Here is a 19,733-nt window from a genome sequence, read left to right as displayed (position 1 = left end):
TCTGTTTTGGGCTAAGTATCTCCTGTAATGTAAAAGTCAAGTTAGGACTTACATTAAATAACCTGATTCTGTTCATGATTTATCAGCTTTCTTGGTGTGGAAAGTTTTCTATTTAACTTACTTTTTTTCCTTTTTTTTTTTTTTAATAATCTACAAAACTTTTGTCTCGAGGGCCAGCTAGTATTTAAGTTATTTTTAAAATTATATAAAAAGACTACATAACTGCATAAAATTTTAGAAATTTGTCAAGTCAAACCTTTTTACTTAAAAGGCAAACAATAGACTGGAAACTATATTTACAATACATATCAAGAGATTTTTTTAACCGTAAGGAACTTTTTCTTATTAATAAGATTAAGACCAAGAACTCAGTAGTCAAGGAGACTAAGTAGGAACAAGCAATTTTTTTAGAAAAATACAATACTTTTAAACAATCTGAAAAGATGTTCAATTTCTCAGTAATCAGGGAAATATAAATTAATTCAAGATACCATCTAACACATCAGAGTGGCAAAAATTAAAATACCTTGTGAAAAGTGTTGATAAGGATACATAAAATGGGAATTATACTATTTGCAGAAGTATAAAAAGCTATGTCTCCTTTGGAGAGCAATTTGGCAAAATCTACAAGGTTATAATGTGTATATTCTGTCCCAGCAGTGCCATTTGCAGTTATATAAAACTCTTTTATATTTGCTTATGGAGTCAAGAATATTCATTGCAGTACTTATTTGGATTATTGAAAAACTGTTCGGAGACTGGGCGTGGTGGCTCATGCCTGTACTCTTGACACTTTGGAAGGCTGAGGTGGGAGGATTGCTTGAGCCCAGGAGTTGGAGACCAACACTGACAATATAGTGAGACCCTGTCTCTACAAAAAAATTAAAAGTAGCCAGGCACAGTGTTGTGCATCTGTAGTCCTAGCGACTCAGGAGGCTGAGGTGGGAGAATTGCTTGAGCCCAGGAGGTCAAGGCTGCAGTGATCTATGATCTCATCACTGCACTGCAGCCTGGGCAACAGAGCAATACCCTGTCTCAAAAAAGAAAAGAAAAGAAAAGAAAAGAAAAATTGATTGGAAATGTCCATCAATAGGGATTAAATTAAGGTACATTTATCTGGTAGAGAACCATGTAACTATTAAAAATGAGATTGTAGGCTGAACGTGGTGGCTCACACCTGTAATCTCAGCACTTTGGGAGGCTGAGATGGTGGCACATGCCTGTAATCCCAGCTACTTGGGAGGCTGAGGCAGGAGAATCGCTTGAACCTGGGAGGCGGAGGTTGCAGTGAGCCAAGATCGTGCCACTGCATTCCAGCCTGGGTGACAGAGCGAGACTCCATCTCAAACAAAAATAAAATAAATAAAAATGAGATTATAGCTGTATGTACTAATTTTTAAAATAGGTTAGCTGAAGAAAACCAGGAGTAGAATAGTGTATATAGTGTATTACCACGAAAATAAAGGAAAAAAGAGGATCTACATATATCCGTGTGTGTGCCTCTGTATGAATAAACTCTCTAGAAGAGCATACAAGCTTAGGTGGTTGCCTCTTAGAAGGGGAATTAGAAGGAGAGAGATTTCACTGTATACCTTTTGCAGTGTTTGAATTTTTTCATTACTCCACATGAAATGAATAAATTTCAGTGCATGTATATGTATATATATATTTATATATATATGGATGGATAGTAAAATGGTGAAATATTTCATTCACGTAAACATTTGTGATTAAGCTTAAAACAATTAGGATCTTCAAAACAAGTCCTTTTCATTTGAACTGTATAAATATGTTCCAAAATTTTATAGTAGTATTTTTTTTTTCATAGCATTTGATTTTATTTGTACGAAATGGATGAAATCCTTGCTATCTCTTAGGGTGGGATCTGCTTTTTCAACTCTGATTTCTAGTGCCTGGCATCTAGTTAGAGCTCAATAAATTTTTATTATACTGAATTATCCTTCATTTTCCTAACTAAGCATCTTTTATCAAGACATAATCATTCCTTTCAGTTCCCGGATTAGCATTAATTACTGGCATTTGCCATACATTGCATTTTTCTATTCCAAATTAGTATTAATGATTTTATGAAGAAGTAGCTGTCCCAAATAAATAAATTTCTTCTTTGTATTTTTAATCATTGAGATTATATCATTATGTTATCACTGAGAAGTAATTTAATTCTATTATATATGCAGACTTTCTAAAGAAGATAAAGCTTTTTTATGGGAGAAACGTTATTATTGCTTCAAACACCCAAATTGTCTTCCTAAAATATTAGCAAGCGCCCCAAACTGGAAATGGGTTAATCTTGCCAAAACTTACTCATTGCTTCACCAGTGGCCTGCATTGTACCCACTAATTGCATTGGAACTTCTTGATTCAAAGTAAGTCAAATACATTTATTTGCTCTTGTTTTATTGTCAGTTTTTCCAGTAAGGTATGTTGCCAGAAGTATTTCCTTTCCTTTTAACATGAAAGCAATTCAATATAATCCAAATGTGTAAATGTATATTTATACAAACATATCTTCTGCATTGAAGTTGTCAATAAAGCATTGCATGTCCTTTAAAACTAGCCTAAAGGAAGGGTTAGGTTGTAAATTTTGAATAATTTATATTTTTATGATGTGGGCCAGAATTAATTTTCATAAACTTAAGATTCCTAAATAATCCCTAAATTGAATCTGTATAGCACAATAAGATTGTCTTCTTACAAAAAGAAGAAATACATTGCTTTTGAATAAAAGAGATATCTTAGTGTTCTTTGTCAGGACCAGATTGAGATTGTGTTTTCAAAAAATACAGCTTCACTGGAAAGAAATCACTGTCCAATCTTGGTTTTATGGTAATCTTCTAGATTTGCTGATCAGGAAGTAAGATCCCTAGCTGTGACCTGGATTGAGGCCATTAGTGATGATGAGCTAACAGATCTTCTTCCACAGTTTGTACAAGTGAGTTTTTTACTAGATTACCTCCCTTTATACTTTCACTCTAGTTTTTTATGGGAACTTGCTAAGGGATCCCCATTCTGTTTAGATTAAAAGTCGTTTTTTAGTGTGGGAACATTGAGGGGCATTGCATTTGGATTTAGTGTGAATTTTTTCCCCACTATTGTCATCTGCCCCATTTGAATATTGTATATAGGCACCTGTATTTTTAGTTTTCAGACTTTTTAGAACAAACCAGACTTGAGCTTTTCCTTGATTTTTCTTTACTGGTGAGTTCAACATAGCTAATGAATGTTACTCTATACTTTTGTGTTTGATTTAAATTAGTTTGGCATAGGTTAATTCATCTATTTAATTTTTATAAGTATCATCTTTCATCAGTAAGAGTAATACTTGCTTTATATAGTTTCTCTTTTGATAGTTTTATTGGAACAATTTAGTATGGGTTAGACCACTAATAATTCTTATTTTCTTTTACTGTAGGCTTTGAAATATGAAATTTACTTGAATAGTTCATTAGTGCAATTCCTTTTGTCCAGGGCATTGGGAAATATCCAGATAGCACACAATTTATATTGGTAAGATTTAAATTTTATTGATTACCGTATTTCCATTCCTAGAATTTATAGAAATGGCATACCCTGTAAGTCTAAATGGTATGCCACACTACTTATTGTGGATACAAGATATTTTATTGAAGGTATTATTTTAAAGGAGCTAAATTTACCCTCTAATGCAAAAATTTGAAAACCCTCATTGCAAAAATTTGGTGTCTTATAGCTCTGTAATAATGAATGGGTTTCGACTTGCTTATATAGCTTAAAATACATTTCTGGTTATCAAAAATTGAGGCCAAGCGTGGTGGCTCATGCTTGTAATCCCAGCACTTTGGGAGGCTGAAGCTAGTGGATCGCTTGATCTCAGGAGTTTAAGACCAGCCTAACAATCATGGTGAAACCTCATCTCTACCAAAAATATAAAAAATTAGCCGAACATGGTGGCATGTGCCTGTGGTCCCAGCTAGTTGGGATGCTGAGGTGGGAGGATTGCTCGAGCCTGGGAGGTGGAGGTTGCAGTGAGGCAAGGTCATGCCACTGGACTCCAGCCTGGGCAACAGAGCCAGACCTGGTCTCAAAAAAAAAAAAAGAAAAAAAAATTGAACTTGTTATTTTTCAGAGAGGTTCACCTAGTTCTTAGAAGTGACTAACATGGCCGGGCATGGTGGCTCACGCCTGTAATCCCAGCACTTTGGGAGGCCGAAGTGGGCGGATCACAAGGTCAGGAGATCGAGACCATCCTGGCTAACACAGTGAAACCCCATCTCTACTAAAAATACAAAAAATTAGCCGGGTGTGGTGGCGGGCGCCTATAGTCCCAGCTATTCGGGAGGCTGAGGCAGGAGAATGGCGTGAACCCGGGAGGCAGAGCTTGCAGTGAGCCGAGATGGCGCCACTGCACTCCAGCCTGGGTGACGAGTGAGGCTCCGTCTCAAAAAAAAAAAAAAAAAAAAAAAACCAAGACGTGACTAACATAAATATTTTGCTGTATTAGGCTTCTCAAAGATGCCCTGCATGATGTACAGTTTAGTACCCGATACGAACATGTTTTGGGTGCTCTCCTGTCAGTAGGAGGAAAACGACTTAGAGAAGAACTTCTAAAACAGACGAAACTTGTACAGCTTTTAGGAGGAGTAGCAGAAAAAGTAAGGCAGGCTAGTGGATCAGCCAGACAGGTATGTACCCATAAAAGGTAATATAAATGTGTTAATGTTAAAGGAAGGATCTTTATGGTGCTGACTAATTAAGTTGCTATTCTTTATTGGTAGACTCCCAGTAGAACTCTAACTATACCCATGCTATTTGGGGCAGATAAATTCAAAGATTGTTTAAAATATATAGGAACATATTTCACAACCTATTAAAATCAGTGATTTTCCCATGCTTATTTATTTCCATGCTTATTTATTCCTTTCTGATGAAAATTGTTTTCTTGAATTCCTTTACCTCCACTATCAAAGTCCACAGTATTTTCATCACACCAAAAAGAAAGCATGTCCCCATTTTCCCCTCCCAGCCACTAAACTGTTTTCTGTCAATATGGATACGTCTATACTTCTATATGGATATTCTGGACACTTCATGGACTTTTCTGTCTAGTTTCTTTCACTTAGCATAAAGTTTTCAGAGTTCATCTGTGTTCTAGCATGTGTACTACATGCCATTTTTGGTTGAATAATATTCCATTGTGTGGATATACCACATTTGGTTTAAACATTCATCAGTTGGTGGACATTTGGGTTGTTTCCACTTTTTGACTATTAATAATAATACTGCTGGCCAGGCGTGGTGGCTCATGCCTGTAATCCCAGCACTTTGGGAGGCCCAGGCGGGCAGATCACGAGGTCAGGAGATCGAGACCATCCTGGTTAACATGGTGAAACCCCGTCTCTACTAAAAATACAAAAAATTAGCCAGGCATGGTGGCGGGCGCCTGCAGTCCCAGCTGCTCGGGAGGCTGAGGCAGGAGAATGGCGTGAACCCGGGAGGCGGAGCTTGCAGTGAACCGAGATCGAGCCACTATACTCCAGCCTGGGCGACAGAGCAAGACTCTGTCTCAAAAAAAAAAAAAGAATACTGCTATGAATATTCATGTATAAATTTGTGTTTAAACAACTGTTTCCACTTAGGAATGGCAGAGCTAGGTCATATGGTAGTTCTGTGCTTAACTTTTTGGGGAATCATAGAATTATTGTCTGTAGCAGCTATATCACTTTACATTCCCACCAGCAATATAGAAGGGTTCCAGTTTCACCACATCCTCACCAACATTGTTTTTTTTCCTGTTTTTTGATTATGGCCATTCTAGTGGGTGTGAAGCAGTATCTCGTTGTGGTTTTGAGTTGAATTTCCCTAGTGACTAATGATATTGAGCACATTCTCATATGTTTATTGGCCATTTGTATTCTTTGGAGAAATATCTATTCAAAGTCCTTTGTCCATTTTAAATTGGAATGTCTTTTTTGTTGTTGAGTTGTAAGAGTTATTTATATATTTTGGATACTAGACCTTTATCACATACACTATTTGCAAATATTTTTTTCATTCTGCAGTTGTCTTTTTAATTCCTTAATAGTGTCCTTTAATATATTAATACAAAAATGTTTAAGTTTGATGAAGTCCAGTTTATCTATTTTTTTCTTTTGTGGCTCATGCTTTTAGTGTCATATCTAAGAATCCATCATTAAATCTAATGCCATAAAGATGTACACCTGTGTTTTCTTCTAAGCTTTTCTAGTTTTAGCTCTTATGTTTAGGTCTTTGATCCGTTGTGGTATGAAGTAGAGGCCCAACTTTATTCTTTTGAATGAGGTTATCCAGTTGTCTTAGCACCATTTGTTAAAGAGACCCCCTCCTTCCTCTTGAATGGTTTTGGCGTACTTGTCAAAAATCAGTTGACCCTGTGCTTGCTTCGGTAACACATATACTAAAATTGGAATGATACAGAGAAGATTAGCATGCCCCCTACACTACGATGACATGCAAATTCGTGAAGTGTTCTGTTAAAAATTTTTAAATAAAAAAGTTGACCACATATATGGGTTTTTTTCTAGACTCTCAATTCTATATCATATATGTCTATCCATATGCTATATTTGTTTTTTTTTTTTTTTTCCTTTTTTTCCTTGAGATGAGGTCTCTCTGTTGCCCAGGCTGGAGTGCAGTGGTGTGATCACAATTCACCACAGCCTCAGCCTCCTGGGCTCAAGTGATCTTCTCGCTTCAGCCTCCCAAGTAGCTGGGACCACAGGTGTTTGCCACCATGCCTGTCTTTTTTTTTTTTTTTTTTTTTTCTTGTAGGGACAGGGTTTTGCCATGTTTCCCAGGCTGGTCTTGAACTCCTGGGCTCAAGCAGTCCTCCCATTTTGGCCTCCCAAAGTCCTAGGATTATAGATATGAGCCATCCACCCAGCCTATACTTTTTTTAATTACCATAGTTTTATAGTAAGTTTTGAAATTGGACAATGTAAGTCCTCCTACTTTGTTCTTTTTCATTATTATTTTTGGCTATTCAGGGGACACTTGCAATTTCATATGAATTTTAGGAACCGTGTATCCATTGCTGCAAAAAGGCAGTTGGAATTTTGATAAGAATTATAGATTAATTTGGGGAAATATTACATACAATCTTAATTATAAACTATTACCTCTATATACATTGTTTACCTGTTTTCTCTTTACTAAACAATACTGCAATGAACTTTGGTTGGTGTGTACATTTTTATTTCTTTGCTAGTATTTCTTTCAGAAAATTCCTACAGGTGAAATAGCTGAGTCAAGAGCGACATGTATTTTTAGTTATAATAGTTGTTACATTGCTCTACAAAAGAAGCTACACCTGTGTACACCTCTCTCCCTACCAATAAGTTATGAAATCGTTTCCTAACACAGGATGTTGTTTTAAATTTTCATCTGATAGGTGAAAAACTGCATTCATTTTTGTTTGGCTTCTATTTCTTTGACTATTAGTGAGCTTTAACATTTTCGTATACATTGGTTGGCCAAATGTACCTTTGCCCACTATATTTATAGCCTTTGGCCATTCTAGTTTTATAGTAAAAATTAACTCTCTTTAGTAACAACCTTTTTTTCACCGTTTGACAACTGGGCATTTTATAAATTGTATCCACAGCATAACTTGTCTGAAAAATAGATCTTCATTTTCATTATGTACTTACAGTATCACATCTCTTTCTATAGGTTGTTCTCCAAAGAAGTATGGAACGAGTACAGTCCTTTTTTCAGAAAAATAAATGCCGTCTCCCTCTCAAGCCAAGTCTAGTGGCAAAAGAATTAAATATTAAGGTGACACATAAAATACTTATAAGTTCATATTACATTTGAAAATAATAGGAAGAAGGCAAATGGGCAGGTATGCTTAAGGCAAATGAAGGTAAAACCTGCACAGGTTGGTTATAAGCATGGATGGTTGTGATTAGGATCCATATTTATCTTAGCATATTTTTTTACCTAACCACCATTCCTGGGAAAAAAAAAGTATAAAATTATTTACTGCCTTGGGCTTCATTTTTTTAAATTGGTCTCACCTTTTTATTTATTTATTTATTTATTTATTTATTTATTTTTTGAGACAAAGTCTCACTCTTGCCCAAGCTGGAGTGCAGTGGTGCGATCTTGGCTCACTGCAACCTCCACCTCCCAAGTTCAAGCGATTCTCCTGCCTCATCCTCCTGAGTAGCTGGGACTACAGGCACACGCCACCATGCCCAGCTAATTTTTGTATTTTTAGTAGAGATGGGGTTTCACTTTGTTGACCAGGCTGGTCTTGAACTCCTGACCTCGTGATTCGCCCACCTCGGCCTCCCAAAATGCTGAGATTACAGGCATGAGCCACCATGCCTGGCCTTTTTTTTTTTTTTTTTTGAGATGGAGTCTTGCTCTGTCACTCAGGCTGGAATGCAATGGTGCAATCTCGGCTCATTGCGACCTCCGCCTCCCAGGTTCAAGTGATTCTCCTGCCTCAGCCTCCCAAGTAGCCGGGATTACAGGTGCCTGCCACCACGCCTGGCTAATATTTGTATGTTTAGTAGAGACGGGGTTTCGCCGTGTTGGCCAGGCTGGTCTCGAACTCCTGACCTCAGGTGAGCCACCATGCCCAGCTGGTCTCACTGTCTTAAATTAGCTTTTTAGTCGGTTTCATTTTAAAAGTAAGATTTGATCATTGCTAATAAAATTTTTAGTTTTTGTGAATACTTCCATGGCTAATTAATTACAATAGTACCATAAACAGAAGAATGGAGGTCTCACATCACAGTGATTTAGAAGAAGGAAAAGGATATCACAAGACGTTGTGTTCTGTTGATGGATTAAGACATTTACAAAGCTCAAACTTTAAAGTTTGTGTCTCAAGTTTTTGCTTCTCTGCCTAGCGAGATGATATTTTAGTCATATATGCTATGTTTAAGTTTCAAAAAGTATTTTTGCGTATCTGTTATCTTCCAGAGAGTCTAGAAAAGCAATTCTAAATTAGCCGGGTGTGGTGGCGGGTGCCTGTAATCCCAGCTACTCGGGAGGCTGAGGCAGGAGAATTGCTTGAACCCAGGAGGCAGAGATTGCAGTGAGCTGAGATTGCACCATTGCAGTCCAGCCTGGGCAACAAGAGCAAAACTCTATCTCAAAAAAATAAATAAATAAAATGAAAAAGCAATTCTCATGTGTTATTTCATTTGCTGTAATTCAAAGGAACAGGTGTTTAGCTGGGCATGTTGGTGCATGCCTGTAGTCCCAGCTACTCAGGAGGCTGAGGCAGGAGGATCACTTGAGCCCAGGAGTTAGAGGTTGTGGGAAGCTATGGTTGCATCACTGCATTCCAGCCTGGGTAACAAAGCAAGACGCTGTCTCTAACAGAAATAAAAATAAAAAATAAATCTAAAAACAAGACACAAAGGAAGAAGTGAAAGGGGAAATGCGTAGGACAAAAAAAAATTCTAAATCCATTTTCATTTATCTTTCTAATGCTTAACATGTTGTATTTGCAGTCGTGTTCCTTCTTCAGTTCTAATGCTGTCCCCCTAAAAGTCACAATGGTGAATGCTGACCCTATGGGAGAAGAAATTAATGTCATGTTTAAGGTGAGTAAATAATGTTACTGTTTTTTAATGGCAATTTAGAAATTTTTTTATCAAATTACTTTCCCAAAATTGCAAAGGTGATTTTGTTTAATATTTTTTTTATTATTTATTTATTTATTTTTACACAGGGTCTTGTTCTGACGCTCAGGCTGGAGTGCAGTGGCACCATCTCGGCTTACTGCAACCTCCACATCCTGGGTTCAAGTGATTCTCCTGCCTCAGCCTCCCAAGTAGCTGAGATTACAGGCACCTGCCACCATGCCCGGCTAATTTTTGTATTTTTTAGTAGAGACGGGGTTTCGCCATGTTGGCCAGGCTGGTCTTGAACTCCTGACCTCAGGTGATCCACCCACCTCGGCCTCCCAGAGTGCTGGGATTACAGGTGTGAGCCATCGCGCCCAGCCAAAAATTTTACGTGTTTTGATCATGATTTGTACATTTTGAAGACAGGATGAAGAATTTTAGTTTAATTCAATGAGTTGGACACGTGGAGGTTCATAAAGATTGCTTCTACTTGAACCACTTTTGATATATATATAATAAATTCCTTTGTACTCACATCTGGTTTTGAACTCTATATTTGGTTTTATTGATGTAGGTGCCTTTTTCTAAACCAGTAATATCTGTTTTGAATACAAGAATTTTATGTGTTAAGTTTTTTTTTTTTTTGAATTTTTTTTTTTTTTTTTTTGTTTTGGAGACTGAGTTTGCTCTTATTGCCCAGGCTGGAGTGCAATGGCGTGATCTCAGCTCACTGCAACCTTCACCTCCCTAGTTCATGCAGTTCTCCTGCTTCAGCCTCCCAAGTAGCTGGGATTACAGACACGTGCCACCACGTCCAACTAATTTTTTTATTTTTAGTACAGACAGGGTTTCACCATGTTGGCCAGGCTGGTCTCGAACTCCTAACTTCAGGTGATCTGCCCGTCTCGGTCTCCCAAAGTGCTGGGATTACAGGCGTTAGCCACCATGCCCAGCCAAGTTTTAATATTTTTTAAGGCAAATTCTCCTTATTCTTTTCCATAATTTTCTTGGCTAGTCTCAGAATGTATTCCTTATTATGTGTTTTTAAATTATTTTATCCAGTTTAAAGAAAATGAAAACTTATTCAAGTTTTAGTTAAAAAGTAATTCATTTTGGGGGGTTAATTTTTTTAAGTAAACTTTTCATTTTGAGATAATTATAGATTCATAGGCAATTGTAACAAACTGTACAGAGGAATCCTGTGTACTCTTCTTCATAGTAATATCTTGTATAACTGTAGTGCAGTATCACAATCAGGATATTGGCATTGATACAGTCAAAATGTAGAACATTTCATCATCCCACAGATTCTCCATGTTGCCTTTTTAGAAAATTGAATATAGGCCACATATGGTGGCTCATGCCTGTAATCCCAGCACTTTGGGAGGCTGAGGCAGGCAGATCACCTGAGGTCAGAAGTTCGAGACCAGCCTGGCCAACGTGGTGAAACCCCATCTCTACTAAAAATACAAAAATTAGCCAGGTGTGGTGGCAGGCACCTATAATCCCAGCTACTCAGGAGGCTGAGGCAGGAGAATCAGTTGAACCTAGGAGGCGGAGATTGCAGTGAGCCGAGATGACCCCTCTGCACTCCAGCCTGGGTGATAGAGCAAGACTCAGTCTCAAAAAATAAATAAATAAATAAATAAATAATTGAATATAATTCACATACCATAAAACTGAACCTTTTAAAGTGTACAGTTCAGGGAACTGAGATATGAAGAGGTTAAGTACCTTTCCCTAGAATGCTGCAGAAAAATAAAAAGGCAGTTCATTTTATAGGTGTGTGCAACCATGCCCAGCTAATTTTTGTGTTTTTAGTAGAGGCGGGGTTTCCACCATGTTGGCCAGGCTGATCTCGAACTCCTGACCTCAGGTGTTCTGCCCACTTTGGCCTCCCAAAGTGCTGGGATTACAGCTTTCATAGTATGTAATCTGTTAAGTCTTTTGGAGATGTACAAGTTTCATTTTGTTTCCTTGATTTCAAGGTTGGTGAAGATCTTCGGCAAGATATGTTAGCTTTACAGATGATAAAGATTATGGATAAGATCTGGCTTAAAGAAGGACTAGATCTGAGGATGGTAATTTTCAAATGTCTCTCAACTGGCAGAGATCGAGGTAAGTTTATTAGCTGTGTCTTGATGTCTTATTTTTTTCCTTGAACTTAGCTTAAAGTGTACCTGCCGTAAACATCCTGATGCAGATACCCTGGTATCACAGTTGTTTCTTATTTTAATCCAGTGTTACTTTATTGATTCAGTTGCTCATAATTAAGTCTCTTTGAAAAATAACTTAGTGGCCGGGCATAGTGGCTCATGCCTGTAATCCCAGCACTTTGGGAGGCCAAGGTGGGTGGATCACATGAGGTCAGGAGTTTGAGTCCAACCTGGGCAACATGGTGAAACCCTGTTTCTACTAAAAATGCAAAAATTAGCCAGGTGTGGTGGCGTGCCCCTGTAATCCCAGCTGCTTAGGAGGCTGAGATGGGAGAATAGCTTGAACTTGGGAGGCGGAGGCTGCAGTGAGCCGAGATTGCATCACTGTATTCTAGGCTCGGTGACACAGTGAGACTCTATCTCAAAATAAATTAAAAAAAAATTTTTTTAACCTAGTGTAGCCTAAATAAATGCTTTGCAGTAATCAGAGGTGTCCATTAATTGACCCAGTGAGGACTGTATGGTCTTTAGCTTTTAAACTTAAAAATAATGCCATATCTCTGGGTGCAGTGGCTCTCACCTGTAATCCCAGCATTTTAGGAGGCCAAGGCAGGAGGATCACTTGAGTCTAGGAGTTTGAGACCAGCCCAGGCAACACAGGGAGACCCTGTCTCTACAAAAATGAATAAATAGTCTCAGCTGCTCTGGAGGATGGGGTGAGAGGATTACTTGAGCCTAGGAGGTTAAGGCTTCAGTGAACCATGATCATGCTACTGCACTCCAACCCAGGTAAAACAGTGAGACCTTGTCTCAAAACCTAATAAATAAATAAGGCCATATCTAAGTTAAATCAACTTTGATTTCATTTTTATAAAATAAAGTCATACAAAGTTATTTTCTACTAATAGCAGATTTCTATCTTACTATTTATTGAACTGTTTTGAAATAATGGATGTAAAACATCCTAATATCTGATATGTATTATGTGCTCAATAAATGGCAGCCATCATTATTCTTATTCAACAAATGTTTGTTGTTTACCATCTATAAAATGGTAAGAATATATGGTACTCATATTTTAGAAGGAAGCAATAATATGTACAAGTAATCAGAGTATGCTTTAATAAGCTGAAAGCTCTAAAAGTTGTAAAGGCAATACCATCAGGTTTTAAACGAAAGATCATCTGCTGTTGGTGGAAATGAGAAACACTTCACAAATTCTATGCATAGGCACTAGGAAATCACCTGAAAGATAATCGTCCTTCCAATATTTGCCATTCAATTTATGCTTAAATGCCTGTAGTGAAGGGGAATTCACTGCATTTCAAGGCGGTTCATTCTATCCTGTGTAGCTCTGATAGCTATAGATTTCTTTTTCATATTCAGGTGATTAATGGGAACTGAGTCCTGGTGTCTTTTACCCATTGGTTCCAGTTCTGTTCAGAGACTATCATATAATTAAGTTAAATCCATCTTCACCCTTACCAGTAGTGTGGCTTCAGATTCTGAATTCCAAATTCTTCAGCCATTTATGAAATATTACTTTAAATTACCTTATCACCTTATTATTCTCCTTGCAAATGGTTCAGGTAATCTGTTGTCTCTAAGAATGGCACCTGGATTTTGTAGAATACAAAAGGGTGGGCATAGTGTCACACATGTGAAACTATTCATAAATAAAATCAGTAAGTTGTCATCATACCAGCTTCTGCTAAGCCATGTCTTGGCCATCCTGTAACTTGTACATTTTCTTTTTGTTTTCTTTCTTTTTTCAGAGATGGGATCTTACTCTGTCTGTCATACAGGCTGGAGTGCAGTGGTGTGATCATAGCTCACTGCAGCCTCAAACTCCTGGGCTCAAGCAATCCACTTGCCTCAGCCTCCCAAAATTAGCTTGATATGATGGCATGCACCTGTGACATGCCACCACACCCAGCTAATTTTTAAAATTTTTCATAAAGACAGGGGTCTCACTATGTTGTCGAGGCCGGCCTCGAACTGGTCTCACGAAATCCTACCACCTCAGCCTCCCAAGTAGCAGGGAGTGTAGGCATGCACCGCTGTGTCCAGCTATGTACTTGTACATTTTTGTGTCTTAGAACCATGTGTAGGACGTTAGCTATTAACTTTGTTATATTTGATACACTACTTTTCAATTTGTTGAGTTCGTTTTAAAACCTGATTTTTGAGTGTTACAGCTCTTTTAGAATTCACATAGCAGAGGCTGGGCGCAGTGGCTCATGCCTGTAATCCCAGCACTTTGGGAGGCCGAGGCGGGCAGATCCCTTGAGGCCAGAAGTTTGAGACCAGCCTAGCCAATATGGTGAAACCCCACCTCTACTAAAAATACAAAAAATTAGCCAGGCGTGGTGGTGCATGTCTGTAGTCCTGGCTGCTGGGAGGCTCAGGCACTAGAATCACTTGAATCCGGGAGGCAGAGGTTGCAGTGAGCCCAGGTGGCGCCACTGCACTCCAGCCTGGAAAACAGAGTGAGACTCTGTCTCAGAAAACAACCAGAAAAAAAGGAGCCAAATGAATTCATTCTGCCATATGTAACTAGACTACTAGAATTACAATCTGTCCCCACATACTTTCTATCGGGGTACCCTGGCAGCCTTGGTCAACTTCTGTTTCCTCCAATCCTTTGTCCAAAGCAGAGCTCTGTTTTCATATATTTTATTTTAACACAAATGCATCTCCTTCATTTTAAAAATGTATCAATTAATATTTTAATTGTATAAATAATATTTGCACATAGTAGGATATCCAGATAGCATATAGTAGAATAAATTGAAAAGTAAATGTTCGTTTTCTCTCATACCTTTATCCTCAATTCTAGGTACCGTCTTTCCACAATATAACTACTTATGTAGCCTTCTGGAAATGTTTTGTGTATATTCTAATATGCACAACCATCCTTCTTTTCAAACACAGAAATACAGTTCTCCATCTGGATTTTGTCTTTAACATTATTTTTGAGATCTTTCTATCAAAGCACATAATTCCTCCCTCATTGTTTTCTTTTGTGTAAATATCACATAATTTATTGTTTGATACTTATTTTATTTTTTTTTATTTTTTGAGACGGAGCCTTGCACTGTTGCCCAGGCTGGAGTGCAATGGCGCCATCTCAGCTCACTGCAAGCTCCGCCTCCTGGGTTCATGCCATTCTCCTGCCTTAGCCTCCCGAGTAGCTGGGACTACAGGCTTCCGCCACGACACCCGGCTAATTTTTTGTACTTTTAGTAGAGATGGGGTTTCACCATGTTAGCCAGGATGGTCTCGATCTCCTGACCTTGTGATCTGCCCGCCTCGGCCTCCCAAAGTGCTGGGATTACAGGCATGAGCCACCACGCCTGGCAGATACTTGTTTTAAAGGAGTCAGAGAGAAAACAAAAAACAATTTGTTCAGCCAGGCATTTATATTTCAATTAGGAGGCCAAAATATATACTTGAGATTTAATCATATCACAAGGTCAGTCTTCATCTCTTCTTCCTTTCGAAAGTGCTAACGTATTCTGGAAGGTTCTTATCTTGCCCAAATATATGATTAAAGAAATTTTTTTGTGCTGAAGTGGGACAGTGTGTGTCTTATATGTAACTTTACCAGCTAGGTCAGTGTCTTCTTGTTTGTAATTAAAATAGTTTTCCTCACTGGGCACGGTGGCTCACGCCTGTAATCCCAGCACTCTGGGAAGCTGAGACAGGCGGATCACTGAAGGATGGGAGTTCAAGACCAGCCTGGCCAACATGGTGAAACCCTGTCTCAACTAAAAATAAATAAATAAATACAAAAATTAGCTGGGCATGGTGTTGGGCATCTGTGATCTCAGCTAGTTTTCCTTTGGGAATTAGTACATGGATGTACAGACTAGAGAGTCTCAAATAGTCAAAATTGATGTTTACATGTTAGATACTTTTGAAAATAAAGAACAATTTTGATTGGCGGCCAGACTTGATTTTTTTTATTTTTTATTTTTTTTGAAGACAGGGTCTCGCTGTCGTCCAGGCTGGAGCGCAGTGGTGTCATCTTGACTCACTGCAACCTCTGCCTCCTGGGTTCAAGTAATTCTCATGCATCAGCCTCCAAAGTAGCTGGGACTGCAGGTGTGTGTCACCATGCCTGGTTAATGTTTGTATTTTTAGTAGTGGTGGGGTTTTGCTATGTTGGTCAGGATGGTCTCAAACTCCTGAGCTCAAGTGATCCACCCACCTCAGCCTCCAAAAGTGCTGGAATTACAGGTATGAGCCACCATTCCTGGCCAGACTTGATTTTTTTTTTTTTGAGATAGAGTCTGGCTCTGTTGCCCAGGCTGGAGTGCAGTAGTGCTATCTTGGCTCACTGCAACCTCTGCCTCCTGGGTTCAAGGGATTCTCCTGCCTCAGCCTCCTGAGTAGCTGGGATTACAGGTGCCTACCACCACGCCCCGCTAATTTTTGTATTTTTAGTAGAGACGGGGTTTTGCCATGTTGGCCAGGCTGGTCTCAAACTCCTGACCTCAAGTGATCCACCCACCTCGGCCTCCCAGAGTGCTAGGACTGCAGGCGTGAGTCACTGCACCCAGGCAGACTTGAATTTTTTTGAAGGTAACAATTGCTAGCTGGTTTCCTATGTCAAAGATTGAAAACTATAACTTTTTAAAAGGCATGCAGCCATAAAAAGAATGAGTTCATGTCCTTTGCAGGGACATGAATGAAGCTGGAAGCCATCATTCTCAGCAAACTAACACAGGAACAGAAAACCAAACATCTCATGTTCCCACTCATATGTGGGAGTTGAACAGTGAGAACACGTGGACACAGGGAGGGGAACATCACACACCAGGGCCTGTTGGCAGGTGGGAGGCAAGGGGAGGAAGAGCATTAGGACAAATACCTAATGTATGCGGGGCTTAAAACCTAGATGACGGGTTGGTAGGTGTAGCAAACCACCATGGCACATGTATACCTATGTAACAAACTTGCACATTCTGCACGTGTATCCCAGAACTTAAAGTGAAATTTAAAAAGTAATAATAATTTTTAAAAATGTTTAAAGGCTTACTTTGGAGAGACAGTTTTACATAGCTTAATATTTTATCATTAAAGGCATGGTGGAGCTGGTTCCTGCTTCCGATACCCTCAGGAAAATCCAAGTGGAATATGGTGTGACAGGATCCTTTAAAGATAAACCACTTGCAGAGTGGCTAAGGAAATACAATCCCTCTGAAGAAGAATATGAAAAGGTAATTAGCATGTCTCCTCATTCTAAAAAGCTTTGTCAAAAATGTGTTACAGAGGTTTTAAGTTCTTTCATTTTCCAGCTCTGGTGACCAAATAGTCATTTAGTCTAAGTCAGGAAAAGAGCATCTTTTTCTAAGTATAGGAAAGAATGTAAAACAAGACGCATTTAATGGCAGGAATCTGAGTGAAACCAATGCTAAATTACACCCCCAAAAATTTCCAAACACATACTTAGAGGCCAGCAAAACAGAGGCATTTTTCTAATGCAGAATGTTATATTTCCCAAAGATCTTGGAGGAAGGTAGGGAAATGAGTAAAATGGGCTGCATCATGTGGTAGTTAAGAACATAAATTAGGGGCCAAACTCTCTGGGTTTGAATTCAGGTCCCGTCCCAAGTCACTCAGCAACAGGGCCTTATGCAAATTTTTTTTTTTTTTTTTTTTTTGAGATGGAGTCTCACTCTGTCACCCAGGCTGGAGTGCAGTGGCGCTATCTCGGCTCACTGCAAGCTCCGCCTCCTGGGTTCACGCCATTCTCCTGCCTCAGCCTCCCAAGTAGCTGGGGCTACAGGCGCCCACCACCACGCCCAGGCAATTTTTTGTATTTTTAGTAGAGGTGGGGTTTCACTGTGTTAGCCGGGATGGTCTCGATCTCCTGACCTTGTGATCCGCCCGCTTCAGTCTCCCAAAGTGCTGGGATTACAGGCGTGAGCCACCGCACCTGACCTATGCAGATTATTTAACATCTTTGTGCCTCAGTGACCTCTGCTATAAAGTATTGTATATATTATGGTATTATAGCATATACTATGGCTGTAAACATAAGCATTGAGATTTTTGTGAAAATTAAATGATTTAATATATATGAAGCACTGCATAGTGAAAGTTGTATAATTGATAGCTCTTATTACTGGAAACATCAATTTTCTGTTTTACTATTATTTAGAATTACATATGAGGAAAGGGCAGTCTTTCAGGACATAGGCCTCTAATGATCCTAACTTGGCCTAAGGAAGACCCAAGAAAACTGAGTGGTGATGTAGGAAGACTCCCATTTTAATGTCATGGAGCTGCCTAGTTTATGTTTCATTAATGGATCATCTTTATAGACATACACGTGCCATCTGTTGACCTACAAAGCTAATGCAGGGGAATTTTGACCTTTGTTAGATCTTTTAAACTGTGAGATCACTCCCTTTTCATACTTCTTTGTGATCTGGGGAAAAAAAGCAGTGCAGCAGAAGCCAATACTTGTTTTAGTAATGTTGGCCCTTTTGTGATTCCTGGTGAGGAAATAATTGCCAAGTAGCATACATTAAGCATCTTTTATGAATTTGGCTTTTTAATGTGATTTAATAAGTAAGAGGGAATATAACTTAGTGAAGTCATATTGCCTGGATTTGAATCCTCACTCTGCAACTTAACAATTATGTGATCTTGGGCAAACAACCTCTGTTTCAGTTTTCCATCTGTACAATTGTTATGATGATAGTACCTAAGTCATTGATTGTTGTGAGATTCTAAATATGTTAATGTATACACACACACACACATATACACACATACACAGAGAAGTGCCTGGTTTGTGCTAAATGCTATATAAACATTTGCTGTTATCATCATTGGTAATGATTTCTGGGGAATTATGGAATAAAATTAACTACATGGGCAAGTCAGGCCAAGTGAATGTACCACTCAGAAATACAGTATTTTGTATAAATAAACTAAATACACATGCTTTAGATTAAAGAAAAACCTCATTGTATGTGTCTTGCTGTATCCTTCTATACAATATTATATTAGTAATTTTAATAATCCCCAGGAGAGGGAGGACTTAAGATGACACACAGGGAATCACCACATGGGAAACAAAACACATTACTTGTATTCTTGGATGTTTTCAGATATAAGCTGATTTTCCTTACACATGTCTTCCCTGCAGGCAGAGGAAAAAAAGCAAAAAATCTTCTATCCATCATGTTTGTGGAATCCTGCACCTCACCGATTCTAAGCAGCAGAGTCAGAGAGGTGCAGGATTCCACAAACATGACGCTTAAAAGATGTTTGAAGGCAGCACGTACCTAAGTAGGGACTGGTAGAGATCCCAGACTTTTAAAAGAGAAAAGCTAGAGAAGGGGCAGTAACCACCCTTAGAAGAGTGTTTTTGTTTTTGAAATATGAAAAGATTGGCTTTTATTACTATATCCCAGTTTGTATGCTATTGAGAGAGTGGATTACAATAGTGTTTTTAAAGAGTGATAAATTACTTTACTATTTATAAACTCTGCCTCTTTTAAAAATAATTCATTTTCTAAAATAATTGTGTATGTTTTTTATAGGCTTCAGAGAACTTTATCTATTCCTGTGCTGGATGCTGTGTAGCCACCTATGTTTTAGGCATCTGTGATCGACACAATGACAATATAATGCTTCGAAGCACGGGACACATGTTTCACATTGACTTTGGAAAGTTTTTGGGACATGCACAGATGTTTGGCAGCTTCAAAAGGTATAATGTTATTGCTGTTGCCAAAGAAATGAGGCACTTCCTGTTTCACAAATTAAAGTTTGTCTCAAGCTTTGTGTTTTGCCTCGCGGCTCCATTTGAACATAACTGGGAATGAAAAAGGCCCAAAGATATGACCATACCACATAGTAGACAAGAATGTGTGTAAATGTGTATAAACTTTGTTTTGTTGTTGTTGTTGTTGTTTTGTTCTTTTGGTATTTT

At 38.5% G+C, this 19,733-nt stretch overlaps 1 protein-coding gene and 1 pseudogene across 6 annotated transcripts in view; both read left to right on the top strand.

Annotated features, from left to right (window-relative positions):
- The window catches only part of PIK3C2A (phosphatidylinositol-4-phosphate 3-kinase catalytic subunit type 2 alpha), a 121,412-nt gene that overhangs the window by 85,814 nt on the left and 15,865 nt on the right, over positions 1-19,733 (top strand). For all 6 annotated transcript variants that reach the window (NM_001321380.2, NM_001386870.1, NM_002645.4 and 3 more), the window contains 9 exons: positions 2,199-2,387; positions 2,860-2,953; positions 3,434-3,528; positions 4,502-4,682; positions 7,708-7,812; positions 9,507-9,599; positions 11,612-11,741; positions 16,868-17,004; positions 19,342-19,511. In NM_001321380.2, the coding sequence (NP_001308309.1) occupies positions 2,199-2,387; positions 2,860-2,953; positions 3,434-3,528; positions 4,502-4,682; positions 7,708-7,812; positions 9,507-9,599; positions 11,612-11,741; positions 16,868-17,004; positions 19,342-19,511 (1,194 nt within the window). The remainder of the gene's footprint in view (positions 1-2,198; positions 2,388-2,859; positions 2,954-3,433; positions 3,529-4,501; positions 4,683-7,707; positions 7,813-9,506; positions 9,600-11,611; positions 11,742-16,867; positions 17,005-19,341; positions 19,512-19,733) is intronic.
- Positions 6,410-6,521, top strand: RNU6-593P (RNA, U6 small nuclear 593, pseudogene; annotated as a pseudogene).

The sequence above is a fragment of the Homo sapiens genome, chromosome 11, assembly GCF_000001405.40.
Source record: "Homo sapiens chromosome 11, GRCh38.p14 Primary Assembly".
In the NCBI taxonomy this organism is placed as follows: domain Eukaryota; kingdom Metazoa; phylum Chordata; class Mammalia; order Primates; family Hominidae; genus Homo; species Homo sapiens.
The sequence above is the reverse complement of the archived record's forward strand: the minus strand, read 5'-3'. Positions and strand labels throughout refer to the sequence as shown.